Source organism: Homo sapiens, chromosome 5 (assembly GCF_000001405.40).
Source record: "Homo sapiens chromosome 5, GRCh38.p14 Primary Assembly".
Classification (NCBI taxonomy): Eukaryota; Metazoa; Chordata; class Mammalia; order Primates; family Hominidae; genus Homo; species Homo sapiens.
The window spans coordinates 51,224,866-51,249,749 of record NC_000005.10 but is presented as its reverse complement, the minus strand read 5'-3'; the positions used below and the strand labels follow the sequence as shown (position 1 = coordinate 51,249,749).

At 34.2% G+C, this 24,884-nt stretch overlaps 1 long non-coding RNA gene across 1 annotated transcript; it reads left to right on the top strand.

The window, feature by feature from the left end:
* The first annotated feature begins 7,089 nt into the window (after positions 1–7,089).
* Positions 7,090–24,132, top strand: LOC107986379 (uncharacterized). Its single transcript, XR_001742506.2, has 3 exons — positions 7,090–7,213; positions 17,838–18,031; positions 19,578–24,132. It is a non-coding gene; the product is annotated as an uncharacterized LOC107986379 (long non-coding RNA).
* The last annotated feature ends 752 nt before the right edge of the window (positions 24,133–24,884 follow it).

Sequence of the window (24,884 nt, the reverse complement as noted above, 5' to 3'; positions counted from 1 at the left end):
ACATTCTGATATCTTTTCTCCATTTTTCATTTTTTGCTTTCAAAACAAATAAATTGTAGTTAAACATGCATTTAAGTGAAATGAATACTTTAAGTATACAAATTATTAAATGTGGAAGAATGACAAAAAATAAAATAAGTTGAAAAAGAATTTAAAAACCATAGTAAAAACAATAAACCGGTGAATAATATAAAAGCAATAAACCAGTGAATCTGAAAAGGCTTTAACAATTGGCTGATAAATAAATCCTTCCTAACTTATATCTTATGACAAGTCTAATTTTTAAAAACACATTTGTATATAGGAAATGGGATATAACTACACTCAGATATTATGAAAAATATTATTCTAGTAATTCAGAAATTTCTGGACAAGGAAAATTTGCATTATCAAAGTTGTTTTTAAAAGGGTTAATATGAGTAGGTTAAAAACAATTAAAAATTGATAACAATTTTTAAAATAATGCTCACCAAAAATTATTGCATATAGATAGTTTGCAGGCAAGTTTTTAAATAAACCTTTTAAAGAAAGAGTTAATTTTCATGATACTAAACCATTTTTAGAGGTCGTAATGTAACATGACATTTTTAACTTACTTTATGAAACTTTCTTTACCCTGATGACAAGGTTCAATAACAAATATGCCCCACCCTTATCATTCATTTTTTTCTTAAGGACAGAGTCTCGCTCTATTGCCCAGGCTCTGGAGTGATGCAATGGCACCATCGTGGCTCACTGCAGCCTTGACCTCTCCAGTAGCTGGGACTATAGGCACGCACCTCCCAAAGCGCTGGGGTTACAGGTGTGAGCCACCACCCATGGCCTCATTTCTTACTCTGGTAAATTATGCTGTCTCCTATTCAGCTGACCAAGCTTCACATGTTGGCATCATTCTTGATTCCTCTTGCTGGTTCATCACATAATATTAATCACAAAGTCTCAAGAATTCTACCTTCTAAATGCCTCTAGAATTAGTTCATTTCTCTCCATCCTTATTGTCCTCCAGGATAGGCCATTGCCATCTTGCATTCTGGTACATTAAATAGTGTATAATTCATGACATTATAGGAGTGCTTGGCTGCTTCACATGCATTCTCCATGCTGTAATCTGGGAGCTCTTTCTAAAATGTAAATGTGATTATGTCATTTCCATGCTTGTCAATGACTTCCTGTTGTCATTTGGATGCAGTACAATATCAAGCTCATTTTCAAAACTTAAAAGGCTCTTTATAATCTGGTTGACATCTACATTTTATAATAGTGATTATCAGTCTATCCTGATTCACTGAGAACTCTGTGAACTTGAATTCCTAGCTTCTAGAATACTACCTAAACAAATAATTATTAAATCACTGGCTTTAGTGTTTATGTAGAGGTATCTGTAGACCTCAGAACAGAATTAAAACATTGCGAAAATTATAGCTTGATAAATGTGTACTGTAAAAATAAATCTAATTTGTTGACTACACATTAAAAAGAAAAAAAGAAGAAGTCAATATGGGAAATCTATAGTTGTGTCTTGTCCAGAAGAAAGCAGCCTGAACATCAAAAACTTCCTAATACTTGAGGACATATTGAAATTCCATTTGTCTTTACTCTGACACTACTATTCGCCCCAGAAGTTAGAAGAATGTTTGGCATATACTGGACCATGAGAAAGTTTATAATGCATGAGTAAATGTATATCGTAATTATTCAAAGATTCATGAAAATCTGGAGTCCATATTGAACTCATTCCCCTGAGTTCAAGGACAGATATACTATGTACAAAAATCACAGAATCAAAGTCTGCTAGATCAACCAATACTACGAAAATATTAAATTGTTTTATTTTTAAGACTTGTATCTATTATAATAGAATGTTGCAATAGGTTAAAATGTGTGGCTTATAAAAACTAATAATCTACATATTATTGTGATGAAGAGTAATTTACTGAAGAGAACTCTGAGGCAGATTTTTGTGATCCTATCCAGCAAAATTCTATTTTCTAACTTTAGGAAGTTTGCATTTTGGGTCCATTCTATGAAAGACTTTACACAAAGAATGTGTAAAGAGGTATATTGGGTATGAGTATCCAGATTTCAGAAAAGATTTTCAATATTTTCCGTAGATTTCCTCTTACGGCCTTTTTTTTTTCAACTTAAAGTAATTAATCAAATGTGATATAATGACTGTGCCAATTGGTTCCCATTTGGCATGACTTTGGGAGGTGTGTCGGAAATTTTCTGCTTGTCTCTCCAGCTCTATTCTCCACTCTGTTCTATGTCCTAGAGGTTGGCCTCTGTAACCTTCATCAGTTTGGGTCCTACTGGTCAAAGATGGAGGGTAGAAAGAGGTCAGGAAAGTTATTCTTCTAGCATCATCTTTGCTTATTTTGAACTTGGCAATGACCACATTCTTCTTCTACAGATCGTAGCTCCTAAAATAATGGCCCTTTGTATTACAACCACAGCTATAGTTCTTGCCAGATTACAATAACTGCTTTCTCTACTTGACCCTTCAAACCAAGAGATGGATAAGGCTTCCAAATATTACTACCTCTGCAGTGTGTCATCATTCCTTGTTAGTTTTTCTATAATTTTCCCAAATATTTGCAAATAGTCTACGTATTAAAAACCTCCTCAATGACACTTTTTGACTTTGCTGATCGACATACAGGGCTATTAAATTAAGAAAAATACCTTAAATCATCAAGAAGTAAGCTATGCTACTCTGGTATGCCTTAGTAATTCCACACTATGAGCAAAACAACCCCAAACCAGTTTTGAATATAAAGAATAAACGAGCGTTTTCCACTGAGATCTGCTGGAGTAAAATTTTGCTGTTCATGTAAATTGCTTATGAATGGATTTAACTTTAAGCCCTTTCAAATATCTTTATAGATTCCTTAGAGTTCTGAAAAAGATTCTTGGAGGATTTTCTTGGCTTCCCATTTGTTTGTATCAAAATATGAATCAAAGACACAACCCTTAATTGCTCAGCTGTGGGGTTTCAGGGCGCATTCCAACACGTCTATGATCAGCTGTAGAATCAGAGTGAATATCTCTGCCATGCTTTCTCTGCTTCAGCTGCCTTAAAAATTGGTTTTCTCCTTTCTATTTAACCTGACTCAGGGGCAGCAAAGCCGAAAGAGAGATTAAAGCATTTTAAACTTTTCCTAGGACAGAGAGAGTATCAGGTTATTATTAGCACATAAGAATATTATAGGCATTCAATGCTTAAAGAAGGGAAGAGGGAGACAAGACTACCACCAGTTGAGTAGATAACAAAACCCTTTGTAAGATAGGTAACATTTGAGGTAAAACATTAAACATGTATATTTTATTTTTACTAGTAGTATTATTTTTGTTGTCATTGTTTTGTTAATCGTCAAAAAAAGTATATGATGATCTTAAATAAACGTCAAGTTTTTTTTCTCAAATAAAAAGTAGAGGGGATCTAAATATTTTGAGAACAAGAAGCCTGTAGTGATTAATATTTTTGGTTCCCCAATTATACTGAACATAATACTATGAATACAATAGTTATTAAGAGTATTGGTTACTTAGAGAGTAAAAGGCGTGTTTACTCTCTAAAATTAAAAGGGCATTTATTAGAGTGAGCAAATATAAATAGAAAAAGTGTTCGCGGGTAGAAGTTGAGTAGAACAGTTTGAAGTAGTTTATTTTCAAAGACTAGTAAAAAGTATTTAATAAGATAAACTTGAATCAAATTATTGGGTAAGTAATTGAATGTTTTTGAGTGGAGTGTGACAAGATCATTGGTGATGTGGGAGTTTACTCTGAAAGCATTGTGCAAGGCGGACTGAAGTGGCAAAGAATAGGAGTGCCGTTGCAATGGTCTGCGTGTGATATAACGTGGGTCTGAATTGGTGTAGTTGCAGTGAGAGGTTGAATGAGAAGAAATCACCAAATAAGAAACAGATTACTAAAGAATTAATAAAGCAGATGCATATGTTTTCCATTTTAACCCTCTTAATACTCCCATTAAGCCATGTAGACTTTTCATTGCTGTATTACTTCAGCATACATGATTTTACTCTTTCCTAAACTACATTTTGTGAATATATTCTGGAACCATTTCTGAATGCCATAGGATATTAGAGAAAAATCAGCAAAAAGGATTACATAATTTGTTTTGCCAGCAGTCTTCAGCTTCTTTCAGGAAGTGTATAAACTAATCACACGGACCACGCAAATATTGATTGTTCAATTGTGTAGATAAAAGCTGCAGTTGCTATAGGGCTTATAAAGAGCTAAAAAATTAGATCACCAAACCCAATGTGGTGATATGAGCTCACCTCCCTTTTAACCCTGTGACCTGCGTATACTTACCTCATTAGGCTTTACTGTTAAGGACATAGCAAAAAAAAAAAAAAAAAAAGATGATTTTAAATAATAAATCGAACTATTTTTTTCAAAGAAAAAGTATGGGGGGGTAAATATTTTGAGAACAAGAAGCCTATATTGTTTGATTATTTTGGTTCCACAATTATACTGAACACAATACTATGAATATAATAGTTATTAATACATTTTTTGTAAAATAACAAAGTAATTGAATTAAGGACTCAGTGGACTAACATCTACAAAAACCACACTGGATTAACATATTTTAATTTTTAATGAAGAATATTTCTCAAAAGTCAGTGAAGAGCTAAGCAATTATCTAATGGGATTATGTATCATAGATTATAAAATACTACTTTAGGATCAAAACAATACTGTCTTTATTTTAGGCCCCTGGTATAAGAACTCATTAGCCTAATTTACCCTGATTATAAAAATGATTAACCTTTTATATATATTTTTACTATTGGTAGTTGTGGTTTTTTCTGGAACCTTCCAATAAAATATATTTTAAAATAATAGGAAGTCTATATATTGAAACATAGTATACAGTACTTACATGACTGAATTTTGGCAAAGAAAATGATTGTCTGACGTAGTTTTAGAATATTGTACTAGGAGTTAAAAATCTGCCTTGATAATATACCTAATTAGAAAGATCAAGTGCCTTAATTAGTTGCATTTTGTTTGTCATCTACAAAATAAATTAATTTAAACTGATTTTTATTCTTGTATTCATAAATTTATTCAACAAGTATTAATTGTGAATTACACAGAAGCATTTACTACTGCTTGCCAGAATTCAGTAATGAACAAACCACTACATCATCCAGTAGGAGTTGCAATATTCATTTATTCAGTCATACATTTACTCATTCATTTTTATCTACAGATATTTAATGGCCCCTGCTGCCAATCATACCCAAATAATACAGAAGTTACTCAAGAAAGTAATAGAGATTTCAAGAGTAATTCAGAGAATTCTGAATCCTTAATAAGTATGCATTTTTATCACATTTTAGGAAATCTACAAAATTACATTATTAGACAACAGGAGCATAATATATGTATATACATCATGTGTATGTATATATACACATATACATACATATATACCAAGTAGAACAAACTAAAAAAATCTACTTTATAAAAAATGAATAAAATATTTGAAAAGATACAGTTACACCTTTATTAAATTACTTCCTAATCCATAGGCAGGACAATGTCACCATTAACAAATAATAGACATCAAGCTACAGAATAACTGTAAATGATAACTTCCTTCATTGAAACCTTTAAAATGCGACAGTTTTCCAAAAATTCAAGGGCAAGTAATACGTTGGCTAGATATTGACCTCATATCACTCACTGAGCTCCAGTAATTTAGAAATATATCATCAGATAGTAACACAGAACACATAAACTAAAAATTATAAGATTTTTAGAAACAAAACACATGATGGTGAAGGCAAATGCTATCCACTTGCAGCTATACATAGAGTGCACAATGCCAGAACCATCATGGCCCCCTAGTAAACCAACACGCTTTTTGGTCTTGGTTCTGCCACTCCTCAATTCGACATTAAAATCTACAAGAACTGTTTACAAGTGCTGTGTGTATAAAATATGAATGAAATACACATTCTTCCCTGATACAACATATAGTATAGCAATGAAAATAAGTATTTATGCCAGGGGCAGTGGCTCATGTCTGTAATCCCAGCACTTTGGGAGGCTGAGGCAGGCGGATCACCTGAGGTCGGGAGTTCGAGACCAGCCTGAACAACATGGAGAAACCCCGTCTCTACTAAAAATACAAAATTAGCTGGGCATGGTGGCGCAAGCCTGCAATCCCAGCTGCTCGGGAGGCTGAGGTGGGAGAATCGCTTGAAGCTGGGAGGCAGAGGTTGCGGTGAGCCGAGATTGCACCATTACACTCCAGTCTGGGCAACAAGAGCAAAACTCTGTCTCTAAATAAATAAATAAATAAATAAAACTAAAATAAAGTATTTATATTATGGAAAACTTTGTTGTAATGGCCATTAATAAGATACAAAGTCCAGAGGAGTTATCTGTGGCCATCGAAAAGTTATCTCTTCTCTGATAGCCTCATTTAACTCTATGTAAAATGAAACTAAAACATACGGTTCATAAGATTATTAAGATGATCAATGATACCTGAAAATATTTTATAATAATCATTTTAATTTTTCAAAATTAATTAAATCATGTTTCCAGGTCAAGATGATTGGTTCAGTATATCTAGAAACTGTACTATTAAGATAGTATAACTTTACAAATAATTTAGTTCAACACTCAACAACAGATAAAAATCTGAGGTTCAGAGAGGGTGAACTTTTCAACATTTTAGTTGTAATAAGTTGTTAATTCTAGACTAAAGCACAAAACCCTAATTTTTAACTTTTCATAATACCTAATAGTCCAGCTACACTGTTGAAACTACCCAGGAAATTTCAAACAACTTATTAAATATATTGGATTTCTCAGAGTCAGATCCTGTATCCATTAATGCCTTCATTTTCCTAGAAACCTTTCATTTTATACTTGACAGAAAAACTATTAGCCTCCAGAGAAAATCAGTTCATTTGCTTTGGACTCAGGTCATATCTCAAATTTCAAATTTCAGATGTTCCATCACTTGCCATTACTCAAACCTTTCTGGATAGTTTTGGCAGTGCTCACTGAAACAACAGTGACAAACTAGAAGAACTGCTTCCTGTGTCCTGGCAAGTGCTTCCTCCTTATACAGACGGTTTTGGAAGACTTCCCAGATTGTGCTTTTGCACTTTTAAGGATGAAGGCTACATGAGAGAGCTGGATGGGATAGCACAGTCTACACACAGTAAGCTAAATAAGTATTCTTCTTCACCCTGCATTTTTCCCTCTCCCCTCTTGAGGCTTATAAGTCATTTTGTAAGCTGTTTACTGTTGAATATTTCATTCTGAAGATAAATCAGGAATTTTACACAGTTGTTGATTCTCTAATTAAGGTTCTGTAGAAAACCAATGAGAAGCCACATTTATTTTAAAAATGGATAGCTTTCTTCATCATTTTCTGGAAAATATTTGCAAATAACATCCCTAGAAATGCAGTTTCTCTATGACAATTTACCTATTAAATGGAAAGGTCTGTGATGTCATCATGTGTCCAGATGACTGAAAAATTTTCAGATACTTACCACTGGCTTATTTAAGTAGATTGCTTATTTTGTTTTTGAGACAGAGTCTCACTGTCACCCAAGGTAGTGTGCAGCCTCAGCCTCCCAAGTAGCTGGGACCATAGGCATGAGCCATCATGCCTAGCTAATTTTTGTATTTTTTGTAGAAACGAGCTTTTGCCCTATTGCCCAGGCTGGTCTTGAACTCGTGAGCTCAAGTGATCCAGCTGCCTCAACCTCCCAAAGTGTTGGGATTACAGATGTGAGTCACTGTGCCTAGCATAGACTGCTTTAAAAATTTTATTTTTGCCTTATAAAATATCTAATTCTAAGTTGTTAATTTTTTTTTTTTTTTTTGAGGCAATGTCTCACTCTGTTGCCCAGGCTGGAGTACAGTGGTGTGATCTTGGTTCACCGCAACCTCTGACTCCCGGGTTCAAGCGATTCTCCTGTTTCAGCCTCCTGAGTAGCTGGGACTACAGACGTGCGCCACGACGCTCAGCTAATTTTTATATTTTTAGTAAAGATGAGGTTTCACCGTATTGGTCAGGCTGGTCTCAAACTCCTTACTTCAGGTGATCCACTGCCTCGGCCTCCCAAAGTGCTGGGATTAGAGGCATGAACCACCACGTTCGGCCCTAAATTGTTAATTCTAAGTTGTCATAATATCCCTTTTTGTACCAACAGAAACAATAATGCGCACTTTTCTTTTAACATCAAAAGGACATCACTATGGAAGAAAGAGTATCGTAGATACATTATTAGGTGTATTGCTTATTGTGCAGTGAGTGAATGAAAATATACCACTTGCTACAATTCCTATGATATCCCAAGGATTGTCCCAGTAATCACTGCAGTTGCAGAGACTAGCACTGTGCCTAGCACAGAATAGTCATGCTACATCATTGAATAATATCATGAGTAAAAAGTGAAGATGAACTAAATAAAAAGTTAGTCTGCCCTTCAACAAAAGGCATTGTCGACACTTCCAAACAGACATTTGTCTTACCTAGGGCAAAGCTAGCCCTTCATTCTAGGCTTCTCCTTGGGAGTTGTTTGCAAGTTGTTTATAGCAAGAGTTTATGGAACACAAAGGCATTTTATCTTTGTGGAGGTAAGAATGATAAACTCCTTCACTCTCCTCAACAGTAACAACACAATCAGTTGTTTCTGAATGTCGTTCACTAAAGCTGCTGAAAAAACAGATTTCTCTTAGGTATTTATTTATTCATTTTCAATAGCATAAAAATACAGAAATATGTTCTCATAGTAAGCAATTAAAAATGTTAAGTATTTAAAGTTTTAAAAAATCTATGATTCATCTGTATTCTAAAAATAATAGTGTGATGTGGATAAGTTTTCTTGCCAGAATATATAGATCTAGCTTTTTTTTTCCTTACTGTTGCCTAATAGTCCGTATTATGAATGGGCATTTGTACTGTTTCCAATATTGCTACAATGTACATCTTTATATATGCCAAATCATACACACAGGTAAGTATTTAGGTAAGTTGTGTGCACACAGAATTGCATTTGAAATTCAGCACCTTCTTTGATGCTGCACTGTGTATTATTTAGCTCAAATTCTATTTGCCTATGCCTTCCCTGTTGCTTTTTTTTGCTGGCTGATGTTGCTAGGATGCAGCCTTCCTATTATTTTTTTACTTTACTAGCCTCTTCATCCCCACAGGTGTCACACCAGTGCAGTCCTGCATAGGGCCCAGCAGCCTCTCCCATCTTTCATGAAATTGATCTTGTCCTGCATGTCCAACATGAGCCACTGGGAAGCCTCCCTCACCTCTCCCGTATCCCAGGACTTTCTTCTACTGGCAAGAAAATCATATAAAGCTACCCTTCCTGCCTGTATATCTTTCTTCTTCCTACAACCTTCCTGGGTAAGGTTCAGGGAAGCCAAGACTCAAACTCTGATTCTTCTGCTTACTACATTGCAGTCACATGTTACTTTACTGGCCAAGGACATAGGATCCTCATTTATAACATGTCCTTTCTGGCAGGATTTTATGAAGATAATAGGGAAAAAGCACCAAGAAAAATCTCTAGCACTTGGTTGATGAAAACATATGTTAGTTAATGTGGTTTCTGTGGGCCCCTGGCACAGACTTCAAGGCAATAACAGTAACAACCATGATGATGATAGCAATAACTATAAAATGGTCATTTACCATGCATGTTACATGATTGGTTCATTACTTCTTCACAAGACCCTGAGTTAGGTAGGTTAGGTAGGGGAAATTGTGTATGAGAAAGCCATTCATCATCTTCATTCCTGGGTATTCTTTTGTCCTAATTGTGGAGTTTTGGGGTAACTTCTCAAGATTGAGTGAGGCTACTCCTTCCAAATGCTCTAGTCCTCCTCCACTCTCCTGTGTTCATCTCTTCAAGTTGTCCTCTGGACCAAGCCAGGGGATTCATTCCTTCTTATCTCAACTGGAGTTCTGGTGCCATATATATATATATATAAAATAAAATTAGGAAAATTGCATATATATATATACATATATATGTGTGTGTGTATATATATATATGCAATTTTCCTAATTTAATTATCTAGGTTGTTTATCCACCAAAATTTTTAAAGAATTTCATGCTATTTTCTTGTTTATAAAAATAAAATCTGGCCAGGCATGGTGGCTCACACCTGTAATCCCAGCACTTTGGGAGGCTGAGGCAGGCAGATCATGAGGCCAGGAGTTTGAGACCAGCCTGACCATCATGATGAAACTCCAACTCTACTAAAAATACAAAAGTTAGCCAGGCGTGGTGGCACATACCTGTAATCCCAGCTACTCGGGAGGCTGAGGCAGGAGAATCTCTTGAACCCGGGAGCAGAGGTTGCAGTGAGCTGAGATCATGCCACTGCACTCCAGGCTGGGTGACAGAGCCAGACTCCATCTCAAAATAAATAAATAAATTAAATAAAGTCTACCAGAAGGAAGAAGTGTACATGGAACATTCTTGGTATATATGTATACTGTGTGTAACAAATATACATATATAAACAAATATGCATATAAAGCATCACATCTTAACATAAAAAGCACACACTTATTTCAAACATTTTGCTTATAAGTAAATTTTGCAGATAAAATATATAAAATAGAACAAGTTTAGGCTCTCACAAGATTTTTATAAAAGAATGACAGAATGAGTCTCAGAAAATGAAAATAGGTATTTCTGTGTCCCATTATGAGACTTAAGAAGCCACAATGCTTCAATTCCAAATTCCTAAATAGCGGTTGATAAAATATACCATAAAACAAAATGTTATTAAAGCAGACTTAGTGATTTTATATTACTGAATCTCTATCTTGGATTACACTCATGAATTTGATAAGAAACTAAAATTGTGGAAGTTTATAAAGTTTATTTTCATTTATTCTTCTGTAATTACAAATAATGATTATGCATTCAAATTTATTAAAGAGAACTTAAAGAAAACAAAGCCACAAAACATACAAAAAATGGGGAGAAAGGTACTAAAAAGGAGCCCCTTTCTTGAAGGGGCTCAAAAATGTCACCTAAAAGAATAATGATGGTAATAGATTATATTACTATAAATGTGAAGAATCTATATTGCTAGTGAAAAATAAAAAGATTGAAGAGGCAAGAAAACAGGAAAACTTTTTATTTCTTTCCTACAGATGAATTCTAGCTAATACATGTAGAAGAGATGACAGAATTAGAAAATCACTGTTTTGAAACCTCTCTTGTAATAAGTGATTCAGGCAGATCATAAATAGATGTCAAAATTAAGGGATAATAAGTTGTTGGGGGAGACGATGGTCATATGGTCTTAAAAATATCACACCACAGATTACTTACCAACACATTGGAAAGAATATAACTTTAGAAATGGAGAGTTCCACCAGTCACTACATTAACAGAATGATCAAACTCAGAATTCCCAACAGAAAGACTAGACATTACGTGTTCCTTATACTATGCAATAAGAAGTAGACAGCATCACTAGTATGTAGTGTTTTGCCAAAAATATTTAACCTAAATCTAATCATGAAGAAGCCATAAGACTAATCTAGAATGTGGGGCATTCTAAAAGACTACTGTCCTAAATTCTAAGGAAAAAAAACTCATAAAACAAAAAGCTTGAGGGTCTGTTCTTGACTTTAAATAATAAAAAGACATCAAACCAAATGCAATATGTGTCAAAAAAAACTGAATCTTGGTAATCCTATAAGTGAGGAAAGCTATTAAAGACATCCTGGGGACACTTAGGGACATTGAAGTATGAAACTGATTATATGATATGATGCAATTATGGTTAATTTTCTTAAGATGTGATAATGGGGTGCAGCACACCAACATGGCACATGTATACATATGTAACAAACCTGCACGTTGTGCACATGTACCATAAAACTTAAAGTATAGTAATAATAAAATTGAAAAAAAGAAAAGAAAAATCCTTGGCCAAAAAAAAAAAAAAAATAAAATAAAATATCACTGTAAAAAAAAATAAAAATAAATAAATCAGTTCTCACCACAAACATTTATTGCTATAGAATAAATATATTTTCAAAGTTTCTTTTTTTAAAAAAAAAGACCGGATAATGATATTGTGATTTATGCAAGAGAACAGGTTCCTACAAATGCATGCTGAAATATTAAGGCAGGAAGCAATGATGTCAAAAATTACCTTAAATGGTTCTGCAATTCCAAAATAGAAAATTTGAAAACTAAATATAGTTTTCCTAATGAATGTCAGAGAAAGACATGGAAAACAGGGTAAGGAAGACAGAGGGTAGAGACAGAACTTGGGGAGAACTAAGCCAAGTTCAGAGGCCTAGTATTCACAGAGAATAGTAATCTAAGACATAATGCACTCATTAAGTTATGAAATAGAGGTTTGTTAAATAACTACTCTGTATCAATTATACATTTTGGAGGGCTAAATCAGTGGGTGAGGCCTGGTGGTGAGAGACATAATTGGGTACCCTAATTTGGAAAAATAAATAAGGGTTTGCTTACTAGAAGATATACCCATATTACTGTGGGGTCTTCCTGGCAAAAGATAGCTAATAGAATTCACCATGGGGGAGTATTGTAGGACCTGGTAAGGTTCAAAGACCCTAGTGAAGGGCAAGGTTCTGATCCTGAAGAGAATGGAGGAATTCTGAAATTCTTCAGTCAATTACTGAAGATTAATGTAGAGTGTGTCATAACATCCTGTGCCATGATTAAAAGGCCATTTGGACATGCTCGAGAACCTAGGTCCTGGGGTTGAGGTAATATGACAAAAAGTCAAGCCAGAACCCATTGTTCTTGTGAGTTTGCTGATATACCTTGTGAAAATCAGACCTGGCTTTGCCACTGTGGTCTCTTATAAGAACTAGCTACACAATATGCTAAAGAAAACAAAGATAGCAGAAAAATATAGATGAATCAACAAAATGAATACCCACTGTGTGAGGCCATAGCTCCTGCATTAGGGTAGCATCAAAATAATCATTAGAAGACATAACTTCCTTATATTAAAAACGTTGTTGGGGGATACAACAACTAAATAATCCAATACATCTGAAGAGGTAAAAACATTTAAAATAATAATAACCAATTTTGCACATTAAAGACACATTTGAGGGGCAAAATTTAAAAATTGTGTTGAGAATGGCAGGGGATTATTATTCTTGCCATTGCCACTTTCAGCCTCAAAAACATGTGGCTCATAGGCTCCTACGGTAAAACAAAGAATCAGACTTTAGAACACGTGCTAGCTTTAACCTTCTGCAAGTGCCTTGTTTGGTGAGAGTTTCAAAAACATTCTGGGCAAGGATGTGGGATGGATCTGGAAGAATATAAGGGTTAATTGCTATGCAGATAGATGATCTAAACAAAGGAAATAACATTTGTAAAGTCCAAGATAGCTTTGTGACCCTTCTGTGAGGAAGACTGAAATGATATTGGAGATACTGCATGAGAAGAAACTTTAATTAACTTTATCAGACCATAATAATTGCCAGTGAGTTTGTAGATCATTATTTTCCAAGTTGATTAGTAACATGGTCAAAAATACAAATTGGACACATTTATACACTTTGGTTATGTTCTGTAGTCGCCACACTTCAATGCCACACCCTGTTCTTAGAAGAATATGTTGATAGAAAATTTTATAAGCATCATGATAAAATTATCAATTTATGTGGTTTTAAATTTGGAAATGAAGCTACATAAAAAAATTAACTTGTTAGAGGGTCAAATGACAATGTCCAATTTCTGAACCGTAAGCTTATTAGTTGACAACAATTGATAAGATATTAAAATTGTATCAAAGTTATAAAAATGTGATTTAAATGTGTATTTGGTTTCAACAAGTAACATCATTGAATCACAATGTCTTGGATTGACTATCCAAATTTTACAACTGGGATAAAATCTAAGAATACTCATCTAGCCCTTTTATATTACAAGCGAGAAAAGGAAGACCCAGAGAAGTGAGTCTCTGGAATTACTAGATGTAGAAAGCAACAGAATTAAGACTAAAATGTAGATCTTCTTATCCTTAGCCCTTTCTTCTCTGTCAACCACATTATTTCTCTTTTTTCTACCAAAGAGCATAATGCCCCAGAAAAATGCTATAACTATGGTGTTTTCATTCATTGTTTCTATGAGTTGAAGGTCTTTGGCATGTTTGACTTCTACCTCATTTCTCATCAATGCTCATATCTTGTTAATTATTTCTTTGCCTTCTCAAACATAGGCTACTAATCAAAGCAAGTTACTCTCATGGCCACTGTTTACAGAGTAGGTGGCTTTTATAAATAGTTTATAATTTTTTAGATTATAAGGATGAAATAAATAGTAACCATTCTTATGCCAAAAGACAAAGCAAGAAAATGTTCCTAATTATTTTTAAAACATTTTTATTGTATTAAAATATACCTAACATAAAAACTGTCATTTTAACAATTTTAAGAGTACAATTCAGTGGCATTAATTATATTCACAATGTTGTGCAAACATTACCACTCTTCTATTTCCAAAACCCTGTCATCACCACAAACAGAAACTCTATAGCCATCAAGCAATAACTCCCCATTTCCTCCTTAATTCGGTCACTAGTTACCTGTAATCTATTTGCTATATCGAAAAATTTGCCTACTATATATTTCACATAAGTGGAATCATACTATATGTGTGATTTGTTTCTGGCTTATTTCACTTTTTTCAAGATTCATCCATGTTGTGGCATGTGTCAAAGCTTTATTTCTTTTTATGGCTGATTAATATTTCATTTTAGCTATATGCCATATTTTGTTTATCCAGTCATCTGTTGCTGGACTCTTGATTATTTTTAAACCTGGAAATGTCATTCTCTGATATTCCATCTGTCCAAAGCTCATACAAAATATATTGTCAATTTGGTGTAGCTTTACATTTGAACTTTGGAAAGACATCTGCAAAAAATTAAATTATTTCATGGTTTACCACTATCAAATGATAGTAAGAATTATTCAGTAACATGCAAATGGAAACCACTTCACATTTTCTATTATGTCACAAAACAGGATTACTATTAATTCATTAATATTGTCTAAGCCTACCTATAGTCCCAGCTACTCAGGAAGCCGAAGTGGGGGGATCGCCTGAACCTCGGAATTCAAGACTGTAGTGAGCTGTAACAACACCTGTGAATAGTCACTGTACTATGGGGCAACATCGTGAGGCCCCATGCCTAAAAAAGAAAGTTGTCTAAATAGCTTTTATTTTAAAGTTAAAATTTCGATGATTTAAGTGATTTTTCACGCTGGTTTAGAATTAGAATCATAAAAAGATAACACATACTGTGTAAACATGTAAACACAAATGTCACTAATCCCTAGGAAAAACACAAAAGTGTGTGGTTCTGCAGATGATATTGTGGTTCTTGGAACTCCTAAGCTCTTGTGTGGGCCTAGGAAACAGATTTTAATCTCGACTATATTTAACCAAGAGTTCTGGGAGGTAGAAACAGAAGATGCAAATAACTCAGCTCCTTCTTCTTTATGCATGCTCTCACCCTTGTAGCTTCAATGGAGCTCTCTTATGCTTCAATTCATGATTTATAATGTTCTGACTAATTATCCTATGACCATAGGTTTTGTGTTCCCTCCTAAGTAGCAAACATATATGATAAAGAACTCTGACTTATATTTCTTCTAATTTTTTCATGGTCTCTAGCACATATTCAATTTTCAACAAAAATTCTTATATATATTTTATTACATTTACTAGCAAGTTTTAAACAGGGATGTAATACCTCTTTTGAGTTCTTAGCAAATGCTTTTGTTCTTTTAACCATGATACTTATGCATAAAATTTATACATAAAAGATATTCCAGAATTAGTTGTTAGCTTGATTTGATTTTTATTTTTGATTCTTTCTCCCTAACATTATATTTCTTGGTGTTATGAATGGCTGGCTTCCTATAATTAAAAAAAGACTGGAGATGTTATATTTTTTGAAAGATTTACACTTGAACTATTGAGTATAATTTAGCTGATTTTTTTCAGTGTGGGTCCAGTAGATATTTCTAATATTGTTCAGCATTTTTAAGTACTTCCAAAGAGAGCAAGAAAGTAGTTTCAATATTTTCAGAGAAAAGTTAATTCACAAAGGAAGCTTGTGTTTTATGAGGCTTTCCTGAATTACAGAAATTAAAGGTGGAAGGACCCATTAGGTCATTCAGTTCATTCCCTTAAGAGTGCAGAATTGCTCCCTGAAGAATATGTACTAGGGCTTTTCTGGAAAGGAAACATTAAAACTCAACTGCAATTGAGATAGAAAATTTGTAATTTATACATAATAAAGGTTTTTCTCCTCAGATATTAACACTACTGCATATTTTAAAATCTGGCTAACACATTAATAAAGTGATTAGCAAAAGTCAAGAAAGCCATTTGTTAGTGTACTTCCTGATGATATAAAAAGCTTCTTAGGCAATTAGTTTGGAAGGAAATGAAAACGAACCCCTAATTCCTTCTTCTTATGCCACCCATCTAAGGCTTTTTCTCTTTGTCCCCCAAAATACAATTTCAGTGTTAACTTATGATTAATACTTCCTGCCTGGAAAGCATCATGGGTAAAAATTTCTATTAATTCTTCTTGTTCAAGTACAGTGTTCATGAAGACCTTTTAGAAAGATACTATTCAAACTATTGATTTGACAAGTCCATATAGCCACTTTTGCAAGGACTGAAGTTATTAATTCTCTTAGTGTCTCAAAAATAATTTTTAGCCTCAGAAATACCTTTCCAACAAAATTTTGTGGTACCTGATAATTTAGCCATAGAATTTATTTCCTAGGTTAACTTTTCCCAGGTTATTTTTCATAGAATACTTGTCTTAGATGACGGTTCCACAAGCAAATTGGGGGAAAGATGCGTATTTTATTCTCTCTCTTAGAGATGCAAAGTATCCATTAATGTCAAGATTGAAAAACCCACAGGAAAGAAAGTTGCTTAGTTTTGAGAAGTCAAATATTTAGCTCAGAAAGTTTCTTATTTTGTGGCCATGATTATGGAATATACTTTTGGAAATGCCGCCTTACAGTTACCAAGCTTTTTCCTTTAAATAAATACGTTGGGTGGGGTAACACTTGTGGTTGTCTACAAGAGAGTTAATCTGCCATATGAATTAGTGTCTTTGAGTTTTTTTATAGGTGATTTTCTAGAAGAAAGAACTAAAGAAATGCCAAGGTAATAAAATGAGTAGTTTAAGAGCATGAGCATTGTCCATAAATTCCTTATTCACTTGTTCAACTTCTACTTATCCTTAACATTTTCCATGTAATTAGCATGGTCCTATGCTTGAGGAGCTGTTGAGTAGGCCTGTTTCCCAAGGCTGATATCTGTTTTCTGCTTTCAGTTTAGAACAGGTCAGGAACCAGACAAAGAAAACAACTTACAGTCAAACCAAATCTCTTTTGTTGCCCAGATCCATAGTGGCCTCTGAGTTTCTCACACTATGATAACTTTTCTGGTTCTCAGTTTCATTATATAAAAATAACAATAACAATGTAACTAACTGTGTGTAATATTGTGAAAACTACTTAATGTCTTACACATTAATATTCACAACTGTACAATGAGGAGCTAGTAATTGGCAAGAGCATTTACAGTTTCTAGAATCTATGCATTTCTCTGTCTGGTTTAGAAATTTAATTTTGCCCCACTCTGGGCAAGATGGATAAATAGGGACTAAATTTACCTTCCAGACAAATACAACAAAAACAAAGACAGACACAGAAAATAAATCAGTGTTTTGTTTGTTTGTTTGTTTGTTTTCCCAAGGCACTAGATACTATACTACAAAAGACAGTAATCCCCAAGAGACAAGGAGCAAGAGAGATGAACCTTCTGATTGTCCCAGATTTCCACCTTGAGAAAGTTTCCAGGCCAAACCATAGCAAGAGGCAACCCAGAAGGAGTCTGGGGATGTTTGTGAATTGAGCAGACAGAGCAGAGGATCTGGGAAGACCAAGGTGGTAAGTGTTCATAAGAGTACTGGAGAGGAGAACACTAAGGAAATGGGAAACTGAGATCTATGGAAAGCCATCTGAATATTCAGCAGAGTACTGACCAGCACATACCTGTGAACAAACTACCTGAATCTAGGGAAAGAACCAGTGAAACAACTCAAGAAACAGTGCCTACTGCTCACTTAGGGCCTGGGAAAGTGCTTGTTTCTACTATCCAGCCCAGGAAAGCTCAGACTTCAAAAAGTATTGGGTAGAGCACTCAATAAGACCTTGATTAGAAGTAAAAAACAATTAGCTCTGGAATGCGAATTTCTCAAAACCCATCTAAAAATCATAAATTACAACCAAAATGATTGAACTATTTCCAAATAAGTTAGCATCCAAGAACAAAATTCAAGAATATTTGTTGGAGTATAAGATATCCCTCACATAACAATGCAAAAATTCACAATGTCTGGCATTCAGTCAAAGATATCCAGATGTGCAAAGAAACAGGAAAACATAACTCATAATGGGGAGACTAATCGATCAGTTGAAACTAACCCACAGCTGATAAAGATGCTACGATTAGTAGGCAAGGGCATTCAAACAGTTATTTTAACTGTATTCTGTATGTTCCAAAAGTTAAATAGAGATATAGAAAATACAAATTTTTGAGATGAAAACTACAATGTTTGAGATAAAAAAATACACTGGATGGGATTAATGGCAGATAAAGTACTGCAAAAGACAAGATTAGTGAACTTGAAAATATGGCAACAGAAACTATCCAAAATGAAACAAAAAGAAAAAGACAATAAAATTTTAAAATGAACTCAGCCTCAGTGCCTTGAAGGGTAACTTCAAGTCACTTAATATAAACATACGTCACATCTCTGAGGAGAGGGGGTGCAGAAACAAATATTTGAAGAAACAATGGCCAAAACTATTCCAAATCTAATAAAAACAATAAAACCTTAGCTCTAAGAAGCTCAATGAACTCAAAGCATAAGAAGCATGAAGAAAACTACACCAAGGCACCTCATAATCAAGTTGATAAAAAACATTGGCAAAGAGAACATCTTAAAAGCAGGCAGAAAAGAAAGATATTACATACAAAGGAGCAAAAATAAGGATTACAGCAGACTTCCTATTTGAAATAATACAAATAATAGGATAGTGGAGCAACATCTTTAAGGTAAAGAAACATCTGTCCACCAAGAATTCTATACCCAGCAAAAATACTATTCAAATGCTAAGGAAAAAATAAAGACATATGAAAGCTGAAGGAATTAACCACTAGCAAACCTATACTGTAGTTCCCCCTTATCCACAGTTTCACTTTCTTCAGTTTCAGTTATTTGTAGTAAACCATGGTTCCAAAAATTAAGATATTTTCAGAGACAGAGAGAGAGAAAGACTACATTTATATAACTTATTATGATATAATGTTATAATTGTTCTGTTTTTATTATTAATCTCTTACTGTACCAAATTTATAAATTAAACTTTATCCTAGTTATGTATATATAGGAAAAAACATAGTCTATATAGAGTTTGGTATTATCTGCAGTTTCAGGCATCCACTGGGAGTTTGGAATGTATCCCACATGCATGAAGGGGAACTACTGTTTTACAAGGAATGTTCAAAGAAGTTATTCAAGCAGAAGAAAAATGATACTACATGAAATATAAATGAACGACACTAGATGAAATCTTTTGTGGAACTACACAAAGGAATGAAGACCATTAGAAATGATGACTAGATGAGTATATGATTTTTTTATCATTTAAATTACCTTATTATGTAATTATTTAATCAGCGATAATAAAATAGAGTTTATAATATAAGTTTAAAATATAATGTACAACAGCAAGAACACAAAAGCTGGGAAAGGAGAAATGAGTGTATATTGTATATGGAGTAGAATAATATCATTTGAAGGTAGACTGTGTTGAGTTAAATATATAAACTACACAGCCTAACAAAATTAAATAAAAAAGAGTTATAATTAATAAACCAACAAAGGAGAAAAAAATGGCATGATAAAAATACTCAATCTGAAAGAAACTAGAAAAAGAGAAAAAAGGAAGGAAAGGAGGGATGAAATATAGTAACAATGAAGAGGAATGCGGTACATGTAAAACTATATTAATAATCACATTAATTATAAATGGTCTCCACAATTGAAAGGCAGCTATTGTCAGACTGGATAAAAAATATGACCAGATTGGATAAAAAATTGGTATATGTTACCTATAAAAAATGCACTTTAAATGTAATGATACAAATAGGATAAGAGCAAAAGGGTGGGAAAAAGGTATGCCCATGCCCACACTAACAAAAAGAGAGTATGGCTACATTAATATAGAACAAAGTAGATTTTAGGCCAAAATCATTACCAGGATTAAGATGGTCATTTCATAACAAAAAGGATCAATTTATTATAATCCTAAACAATTATGTACCTAGAAAGACTTTGAAATACATGCAGCAAAACTGATACAACTGCAAAAAGAAATAGATATGATAAATCTACAATTATAGAAATAGATTTCAATACCTCTCTCTCAATAATTGATAGAACAAGTAGACAGGATGTCAACAAGTTGATGGTAATGAGGAACAACATTATCATCCAACTTAACCTAATTAATATTTATAAAATACTCCACCCAATAACAATGGAATACACATTTTTTTTCGAGTGCATATGAAACATTTACCATGAAATTGAATTTTTAAAAGTCTCAGGTATCATTTATTGCTAAAATGTTTTAATCTTCACTTTTAAAACTTTATAGCTTTTCTTTAAAACATCAGTTTTAAGCAATCTGCTTTATCATAGAAATAAACTATTCTAAACTACATTTTCTTTGGAAATTTTAAATCTAGCATCAATAAAATACAGAAATATAACTATTTATAGAGATATATTTGGTATTCTAAATATGAGTCTGGCCTAAAGAAAAAGGAAACGTTTGCTGCCATGTTGAAAACATAGAGCATAATTAATATAGACTATTATCACTCAGTAAAATTACTCAGTATGTTTGGAGATTTCATATCTTTAGCAAACACTAAAGATAGTAATAACTTGGGGATTAGGAGCACCATTAAACAGATGCCATTTTGGCAAATGTCCTTAATTTGTTAGTTTTAATCAATGTTTTTGGTTAAAAAAAAAAAAAACTGCTTAGAATCTCTCTCCACATTCTTTTGTTAGATACTGAGTGCAGTCTCCAAGAGGCCTACTCAGTAGTCCAAGATTTAATAGTTATCTTCTTATCTACCACAAAGGTTAAACAGGGATAAAACTGGCAATAGCTTGAAAGAACCAAGCAGAGTGGGGGAGTGAACAAATTTAGGATTGGGTTAGCTTTAGTGTCACAAATCAACTTAAAAGGTAACTTGCAACCTCCTTGAAGGAGGTTCAGAGGCAATCTCCTTCAGTAAATTCTGCAAGAGCTGTGCAGTTCAGCCGGGAGCCAGGGCGTATCCTGTTTTTGATCCCTCTCTACCTCACCCATGTTTAAAACAGGATTGCTCTCGCGATGCAGTATGTGTGTATTGGAACAGCACCCAGCTCAAGACCCAGAGAGAGACTTGGGTGTAATATTACAGAGCAGAGCTAACATTACTGTCTGCCACTACACATTGTCGGCACAGTTGTGTTCATTAGTGTTGTCTCACTTCATTCTTACACAAGCATCCTCATGTAAGTTTTATATTCCTATTTAAAGACAAGGACACTGAGGCACATAGAGATGCTGCAAACTGTCAGTTTAAAAGTTAGGAAGTAGAAGTGACATTTTTCAACACAGAGCTCCAGATAACAAGTCTAATGTTATTCTCATCCTTAGCTTTTTTGAGTAGTGCTATATTGTCTCCCACATTTAACACTGCTCCAAAAAAGGCTTTGAATCAACTGTCTTGGGTTTATGTCTGCATGTGTTATTTACTAGTTATTTGATATGGGCCTCAATTTCTTCATGCTAACACTGAGAATCATAAAAGTGCATAAATAAACTCACATACCTAAAGTATCTGTTAGAATACATGGACCACAGGAGACACTTATTCCTGTATCAGTATATAGACTTTTAAACCCTTGATGTTGGCATCTTTGTGTTAATAAACAAAACCCTAGAAGAAGATGTTGCCAATTTATTAAAGGTGTCTAAATATGATAATGAACATAAATACCTGCGGAGAGGATATCAACATATAAGAAACACTGAAGGTAATTGGAGTCATGCCTCTCGAAATATTTCTGAGGTTAAATGTTATTTATTAGTTAATATATCTTAAGAATATTTTTAACGTGGGCTTTTGAGTTATGGTTGGAGTTTTATCACAGTTGATAAAGTAAGAACAATTGTCCTATCTTTGTATAATTGTAGAATGTCTTGAAGATTGATCATTCTTAATCTATAGAACTTGACCTAGAAAATTCCTATGATCTTACATTAAGTATAGAAACACTTTCATTTCCTTTACCCACTTTCCTAAGAGGTTTGTTGGTTGATCATCAGGCAAAGTGTATGAAATGTATCATAATTATTTGATACTTCAGTCTCTGGGCCTTTTTCCTATTTATGTTGGCAATTCTGATTTCCTTCCTTTAATAAATTTATCATCAATTTATTACAATAATTAATGAAGATGTCCCAGAAAACAAATGTCTCCCTTAAGTAGATTTTTTAAAATACTAATAAACAACTTGCTGTTTTAAATTTTCATAACAAACTTATCACATGCAAAACTGTACTATAAATTATAGATACCCATCATTAGTAATGTATAGACTATCCAATGTCATACATATTAAATAGAGAGTAACTTAAAATAGCCCTGGTTGCTTTGACTGTATTGTGTATTCACTGTATTGCAGGCATATTAAATATCTCTGTTCATTAATATTTTACTCTGAGTATTTTTATACAATTAGCAAGAAACTTCTAATTACAATTTCTAATTAAATAACATTACAACAATAAGAAGCTATTAGTTTTGGTCAACTGGATTTCAATGGGTTAACTGGGATCTTTGGTCCTGAGACTGTTCATATCCTCAGACTTCACAACACTAGCAGAGGCTGGCTCTGCAATAAGTCTCACATTACATGCGGATTAGATTTGTAGAAATCCTGTAACTCAATAGGTACCTGCCTATTCTCTCCTGGCGTCAGCCTGCCTGCACTGCTTTGCTCTGTAGACATACCTGGCATTCCACCCATGCCTCCCCACTTAGTAAAGTGAACTGGAGTCAGCCTACCAAAACATTGGGGTATTGTTGTGAAGGAGAAAACCCCCTGACAGCCAAGAAAAGTGTGAAGTCAGGCTTGCAATGCCTTGCACCTTCCTCTGAAGCATACATGCTACTCTTCCTAATTTCTTTACATCCTTATTACAGCAAGGTTGGAGTACAGATATTTCCAGGTATTTGTCAGCATAGTGCAGTCATAGTCCAAAGGTAAGATGGAGTTCTGGCTGTTTTTTCTTCCTCTCTTCTCTTCTCTTCCTCCACCACCCTCACTTCCTTGACCACCAGGCTTTCCCTCCCTGCCCCTCTCTGTTTCCCCTAACAGTGTACCTTGACAAACATGTTTACACTCAAAGGTGGGAAAACAAAACCAAGCACCAAGCACAACAAAAAACAGGCTTGGCACCAAATCCTAGAGTACTCAGTGGACTGATTTCTGGGAGCTGTGCCAAACGCGATAAGCACTGCTATTTTAACACATCTCTAGTGCTCAGCACAAATCATTCATTAAATAATTAGCATGTTACCTTGTTAAGAATCTTTAAAACTAAGGTGAGATTTTCATTCAGGAAGCACATCAGATTGTTTAGCATCTTTTTCTAATTAAGCATTAATCCCTCCCAGGAAGAATGAGTCACTCAAGCAAGTGAACTTTCAAAGATAAGGGATTTCTCTTTTGTAAACTGCAATTAACAGCTTTTAACAGCCAGCATTAATCCGGTTTTCCCAACAGTTGAAATGATTCTGATGATTTTTACTTCTTGCTCCTTATGCAGCTGACCAAACTCAAGAAATCGAGACATTTATGACAAATATGGAAATGAGATGAGCAGAAAAAAAAACCCAAACAAAACAAAAAAAACCCCTCAAATTGCATTGCAATCCCATAGAGCATCCTTCTTATGGGAGATTTTTTCCAGTGCGTCAATTAGCAGCACCCTCTGTGGAGATAGGAGGTGGCATTCTGTGTGACAGTTTGGTTGCAATTCTGCCTTTCACAGGTGCAGAACTTATCCTGACAGTCAAACTGTGTCATGTGCCCTAATCATAAGCACATTTTTTTTATTATACTTTAAGTTTTGGGATACATGTGCAGAATGTGCAGGTTTGTTACATAGGCATACACATGCCATGGTGGTTTGTTGCACCTATCAACCCGTCATCTATATTAGGTATTTCTCCTAATGCTATCCCTGCCCTAGCCCCCCATCCCCCAACAGGCCTTGATGTGTGATGCCCCCACCCCCGTGTCCATGTGTTCTCATTCTTAAACTCCCACTTATGAGTGAGAACATGCGGTGTTTGGTTTTCTGTTCCTGTGTTAGTTTGCTGTGAATGATGATTTCCAGCTTCTTCCATGTCCCTGCAGAGGACATTAACTCATTCTTTTGTTTGGCTGCATAGTATTCCACGGTGTATATGTGTCACATTGTCTTTATCCAGTCTATCATTGATGGTCATTTGGGTTGGTTTCCAAGTCTTTGCTATTGTGAACAGAAGCACATTTTTAAAAAAAAATTTTGTATTTTAAAATACAAAATGCATTTTATGGTTGTATTGATAAGAAGCTCTGGAGCAGTCTTAATGTCCTACAGTTTTCTACCATTCAACTAC